We start from the raw sequence: 6,601 nt of genomic DNA on the forward strand, positions 1-6,601 counted from the left end.
GATGAAATCAGATCTGAGGTTGCCTGGGGCAGAGATGGGGGTAGCTGACTGCAAGGAGGTGTGGGGAGGGTTGTGAATTTTGGGGAGTGATGGAGCTGCTCTGTATCTCAATTGTGATGTGGTTACACAACTGTATGCATTTGTCAAAACTCACAGAACTACACTCTAAAACATATAAATTTTACTGCATGTAAATCTTACCTTAATTAAAAATTAAAAAAATTGAAGATGTGGATTTAGGTAAGATTCACGAAGGGATAAAGATAGAGTTGAGTTACAAGAGAATTGTTATCTCCATCTTGCATGGGAGAAAAATGAAGCTCAGAGAAGTGAAGTGGCTTCCCAAGATCACACAGCTACTAAGTAGCACAGCTGGGGCTCAAAACCAGAGCCATGTGATCAGATGGCCCATATTCTTTTTGTTCCCTCCCATCAACCAAGCCCAGGCCCATGGCTGAGCATGATGGCCAAGCAGGGAGGAGGGTCAGCTCCTCTTCAAGGAAGAAAACAGCATGCTGTTCTTTATATATGTAAATGATGTTCTGTTCCTCACCCATCACCAATCACACAGGTACTTAGGTTGCAAGGTGTGGGGACTGCCATGGTGATGATGGCTCTCCCCACCAGTCCTCAATGGGAATATCAGCAAGACGCCAGTCCACAGTAAGGGATTCTGTCTGGGCCCTCCAGACACCCAGAGGGCCACGATGAGATCCACTCCAGAGGAGTAATTGTACCCTGCCCCAAACTACCAGGGATCTTGACACTGACATAGCTCTTTATACTTTCCAACTCCAGAAGTATTAACTGGGAACAACTACATTTTCCAGCCCTGAGCTTGTGGACCAGCTCCAGATCTTGTGATCTGATCTCTCCCTATGACTGTTACAACTGCCTCAAGATGGCTTACTCTGCCTCCCGTCCCATCCCACTCCTAATCACTCCCCACACTGCTACAAGAGGGGCTTCCTTATACCTTATACAAAAGTTAACTCAGATAGATGAAATACTTAAATGTAAAACCCCAAACTATAAAAATCCTAGAAGAAAATCTAGGCAATACCATTCAGAACATAGGCATGGGCAAAGATTTTATGATGAAATTGCCAAAAGCAATTTCAACAAAAGCTAAAATTGACAAATGGGACATAATTACACTAGGTTGATAGGTGCAGCAAACCACCTTGGCACACATTTACCTATGTAACAAGCCTGCACATTCTGCACATGTATCCTAGAGCTTAAAATAAAATAAAATAAACCCAAGGAGGTAAAGACAAGAGGGAGAGAGGGGAAACAGAAACAAGGAAGGACAGTGCCAGAAGAGGAAGTCAGGCAGAAGAGGGAAGGAAGGGAGAGGAGGAGTGTACAGGAGAGCTGGACAGAGGAAGGCCTGGCGGGGCCACTCTGGTTCTCCGGCTCTTCTTTGCCTGGCCAACGCCCAGAGAACCCTGCTCCCCTGGGAGCCGGGACCACATCTGCCCTTCTGTGTGTCAGCCAGGGGCATCTGGCATCCGGCAAGTGGCAGCTCCCTCATCATCCTGTCTGATCCAAATTCAACCCACATTCAGCCAGGTGACCATGGTGGCTCCCCCCCAGGGTGGAGGTCTGTCCTGAGGCTGTCTGCACTTCCCAATGGAGCTGGCTTCGAACCCACTGCTCTTGCCTCTCTTTCCATTCCCTAGAAGGCTGGCTGCCCCTGGAGATGTTTCTGCACCAAGCCACTTTCTCCAGCTGGGGACTAGCATCAGGAGAACTCCTTTCTGTCTCCTAGGTCTGGAATGAAATGACGAGAGTGACCTTGCTCAAGTTGGACCACTCTGTATCCAGCCATCCTCATGTATAAAGAGGAGGAAAGGAGAGGCACTTCTGTTACTACCGACCAGTTACTAGGTGTGACATTGTGCAGGTCACTGCACACACTTAAAGCAACCAGATGTATATCCATAGTCATCGGTGTTTTATAGAACATAAGAATAGACTCACAGTCCATTCCCCTCCTGCAAGACTACATATTCTATCGTAAAGGATGTGTCAAGGAAGAGCGTGTTGGAGTTCTGACTCTGGAGGTCCGCCAGCCAGAAAATGGCCTCCAGCCTCCCAGTCTCTTCCTGCTCATCAGCATAACCATCCTCCATCCATGAATCCCCACTGCTCACTCATTTTCTCTGCTAGTACTTAGTGAGCACCTCCTATGACCCGGGGATACAGCAGTAAATAAAACAGGCAAACACATTGGAGAGAAAGAAAGCCTGGGAGGCTGAGGTAGGTGGATCGTTTGAGTCCAGGAGTTCAAGACCAGTCTGGGTAACGTGGTGAAACCCCGTATCTACAAAAAAAAAAAAAAAAAAAAAAAAAAAAAGACAATGTGGTGTGTGCCTGTAGTCCCAGCTACCTCGGAGGCTGAGACAGAAGAACCTCTTGACCTGGGGAGGCAGAGGTTGCAGTGAGCCGAGATCATGTCACCGCACTCCAGGCTGGGTGACAGAGAGAGAACCTGTGTCAAAAAAAAAAAAAAAGGAAGAAGGAAGAAGAAGAAAGGAAATATGGCATGTTGGGGATGGGGATGGAAGTGGGTTGCAATTTTTAAAAGGGTAGCCAGGGAAATGCTTACTGAGATTTTTAAGTACAAGTCTGAAGGAGGCAAGGGAGTGAGTCAAACATATACATGCAGGAAGGGCTCTCTAGGAGGAGAAAGCAGTGAGAGCAAAGGCTGGGAGCCAATGCAGGCCTGGTGGCTTCAAAGAACAGCAGAGGGCCAGCGTGGCTACGGCAGAGGGAGTCAGGGCAGTGTGCTAGGAAGTGAAGGCAGGGAGATGCAGGAGGTGTGGATTGTTGGGGCATCACAGGCTGTGTGACTCCCAATTGCTGTGTGACAAATTCCCACAAATCCAGCAGCTGCAAATACGACCCAATGTTCCCCAGCTTCTGCAGGTCAGGAGTTGGCACAGCCTAACTGGTTCTCTGTAAGGTGCCATCAGGGTGTCAGCCAGCACTGGGTTCTCATCTGGGGCTCAGCTGTGTGGATGGCTCTGCTTCCAAGCTCACGTGGCAGCATTCAGTTCCATGCAGGGTGCTGGACACAAGACCTCAGCTTCCTGGTGAGCATCGACTGGAGGGGGCTCTTAGCTCCTCGCAGCTGATCCCCTCCATGAGGCAGCTTGCAACATGGCAGCCTGCTTCTTCAAAGGCGTCAAGAGAGAGTCCCCAGAAAGACAGGTTATGATCTTAACATTTTATTTATTTATTTTTTGAGACAGAGTCTCGTTCTGTCACTGAGGCTGGAGTGCAGTGGCACGATCTTGGCTCACTGCCACCTCCACCTCCTGAGTTCAAGCAATTCTCCTGCTTCAGCCTCTTGAGTAGCTGTGATTACAGGCGTGCACCACTATGCCTGGCTAATTTTTGTATTTTTAGTAGAGGCGGGGTTTTGCCAGGTTGGCCAGCCTGGTCTCGAACTCCTGACCTCAGGTGATCCACCCACCTCAGCCTCCCAAAGTGTTGGGATTACAGGCACGAGCCACTGCATCTAGCCAGTGATCTTATACAATATGATCAGTACATGAATCACATATATACCACCTCCTTCATAAGCAATCCACAGGTTCTGCTTACAACCAGAGAAGGGGATTATTCAAGGGTGTGAATGGCAGAGGTGGGGGTTGTGGGGGTCACCTTAGTATCTGCCACCACAGCCTGTCCTCTGTCCCCAAGACTCATGTCCCTTGTGCATGCAAAACACATTCACCCCTCTTGAGATCCCTTCATGCTCACAGTCCCGAATCTCATCTAAATCGGGTTTAGGTGTAGAACAGATTTCCTTGGATGTTCCTCTGATCTGGAAAACTAAAGATACAAGCTATCTGCCCCCTACATATGCAACACACAATGGTGGGTAAAGCCCGAGACATTGCTGTTGAGAAAGAGGCAGCAGGGGAGGGATGAAGGAATGGTGGTTCTGAAATCCAGCTGGGCAGACGCTGGTGTTCCCTAAACAGGTTTTAAGATGTGGGAAGATTCCATGTCTCTTGGCTCTGCCTTCTGGGCTTCTGCCTCTGGGTCATCCTTCTTTTCTCACGAAAGATCCACGTGTTTGCAGCCAAGTAGTTTTATCAGCCTTCTTCTTGACAGCAGAGTTTGGGGGCTCTGACAGTCTTCTTTCATTTTGCACTCTGTCCCCTACAGACCAATCTGCCAGCACTGTGGGTGAAACAGCTTTCCCAAACCCTTTGCCTGTCCTCCGTGGGTTTCAGTGGGGCTCATAGTCGATTTGTCAAGAGCCATACCCATGAATCTTTTAGAGATAAACTCTACCTTTCTACCTTCAGCTCCTGCCAAGATGGCCCCCAGGGTAACTCACTGAAGCTTCCCAGGGGCCCTAAGGTTTGGTGGAGAGGTTCTGCATGGTACACCCTTATAATCTCTTGCAACAGACCTCTGTGTGACTCATTGCTACTCCCATCCTTTGATCTTTATGCATAATCACAAAAGACTGTACAGTTACACCCTATGCCACATGCTCAGAAGCCATTTGTTAATTTCAGCATCTTTTGCCATGTGGGGAGACTGACAATTTTCAAAATCATCAAGTCCTGATTCAATTTTAACAGTTTAAAAACCAGTCTCTTTCTCAATTTATCTCTCTTCTCTCACACTATATTATAAGCAGTAAGAAGAAACCAGGCAGCATCCTCAACATTTTACTTGGAAATCTCCTCAACTGCATACCCAATTTATCACTTACATGATGTGTTTTCCACGTAACTGCAGGCGACCACTTTTCTAAGCTTTCTGCTCCTACCTAACAAGGATCCCTGTCCTCCAGCTTCTAGTGCGAAAATCCTCACTGCCTTTGAGCAGTGGCGAGTCCTCCGAGCCCAGATATCTAGCAACAGTCTGCTCACCTTAGAGTCTGTCTGTCACCACCTGGGCCATTTCTAAGGGACCAGAGCTTTCCTCTGAGATGAGGCTTTGAGCTGAGGAGCCACATGATCTGACATGGTTAAGGATGCCTCTGGCTTCCCTGTTGAGAATAGACTGAAGGGGCAAAAATGGAAGCAGAAGAGCAGTTAGGAGGCTCCTGTCAAACCCACGTGGAAGGCAGGCTCTGGGCTGTGTCACTGGACTAACACTAACACCGTCCCCTTGCACTTCTGAGGGTCCCTGGAACTTCCCTAGGGGATGAGACTCCTGGCTAGCAGGACTCAGCCCCTCCCCTTCAACTTTACTCAGGACCTGGTCTCCCCTCCTTAAGGTCTCTGGAGCCCAACGCACACTTCAGCCCACTCTCACAGGCATTCTCTCTGTCCACAAAATATCACCGAAGAGTCTTCTGTGAGTGCAGCATGGTGTGAACACTGGGAGTACAAGGAGAAATAAGACACAGTTGCTGTGCTGGAGAAGCTTGTGCCCAGTGGTGGTGATACTGCCGGAGGTGAGACCACTATGCCAGCACAGGAACAAAGACGGCAGGGGCACAGGGCAATTCAGGGGTGCAGATCTGGGGGCATCCAAGAGGCTCCTAAGCCTCAGTATATAAACTGACAGGTCACAGCCTGCTCTAGGAAACACCTTCTTAAGGGTTGGAGTTATCTTTGTGCATCCCATCCCCACCCCACCAAGCCGCCCTTGGCCCTGCCCTCAGGAGCTTCTGCTTGGCCTTGCTAATTCCTCTCTTCTCCCTGAAGCTAGAGTGAGGTCCCTCTTGGCAGCCTTTGTATCTAGAGAGAGCCGTCCAATAGAAACATAAGGTGAGCAACATGCTTAATTTTAAAATTTCTAGTAGCTACATTAAACATTTTTAAGTGAAATTAACTTTAATAATACATTTACTTAACCCAATATATCCAAAAGATTATCATTTCAACATGCAATCCTATTTTAAAAATAACTAGTGAGGTACCTGACAAAAAAAAATCCCTTTTCATACTAAGTCCAGAAGATCTTTGTGTATTTTATACTCATAGGACATCTGAGTTTGGATGTTACCTTTTTATTGGAAATATGGGATCTGTACTTAGATTTCACTGAATTTACATTGAAAAGGTAGGTTCACATACCCAAGTTGTCTCACACGTACCTAAATGTTTTCTGGTAACTGGATGGAGTATCAGTTTTTATATTTATCTTTGCATTAGCTAAAAAACAAATTAATAGTTCAGGTCCTCAGCCGCACACAGGCAGTTTTCTCCACGGTCCAAATTGTTGCCCGAATTCACCCAGACCCCGCTGTCCTCCGCTTTTTCATGCAGACATTCAAACAACTGCCTCCCTTCCTCCTGGCACCCCTCCTGGCACCCCCATCCCATCGCCAGCAGCCTCCAAACCAGTTTCCCTCCTGTCCTCATCTCAGCCACCCATGACTCACACACACATCTGTCTCCCCTGGCCCACTTTTCACCTGGTCCTCATAATCTATGCATAAACATTAACGTACCACAGGTCAATCTGCATACTGATTACTTCTGCTCTGGTCAAATTCTTGCTTTCAGGATCAGGAGGCTTTCTCCCCACACCAAACTGGGCCTGAGGAAATAGTGTCTTGTCTTCCTGTCACCCCTCCCGTAGTTGCATGTCTAATGAGACAAGGGGTGTCTCAGGT

The 6,601-nt window shown here is 47.9% G+C and overlaps 1 annotated feature.

Moving 5' to 3' along the window:
• Positions 230–769: an enhancer, noted in NCBI's record as "OCT4-NANOG hESC enhancer chr2:114328102-114328641 (GRCh37/hg19 assembly coordinates)". NCBI's record gives its function as "activates a minimal SCP1, AML or CMV promoter by ChIP-STARR-seq in primed H9 embryonic stem cells {active_cell/tissue: H9 hESC(primed)}" and the evidence as "EXISTENCE:reporter gene assay evidence [ECO:0000049][PMID:30033119]".

The sequence above is a fragment of the Homo sapiens genome, chromosome 2 (genome assembly GCF_000001405.40).
Source record: "Homo sapiens chromosome 2, GRCh38.p14 Primary Assembly".
NCBI lineage: Eukaryota > Metazoa > Chordata > Mammalia > Primates > Hominidae > Homo > Homo sapiens.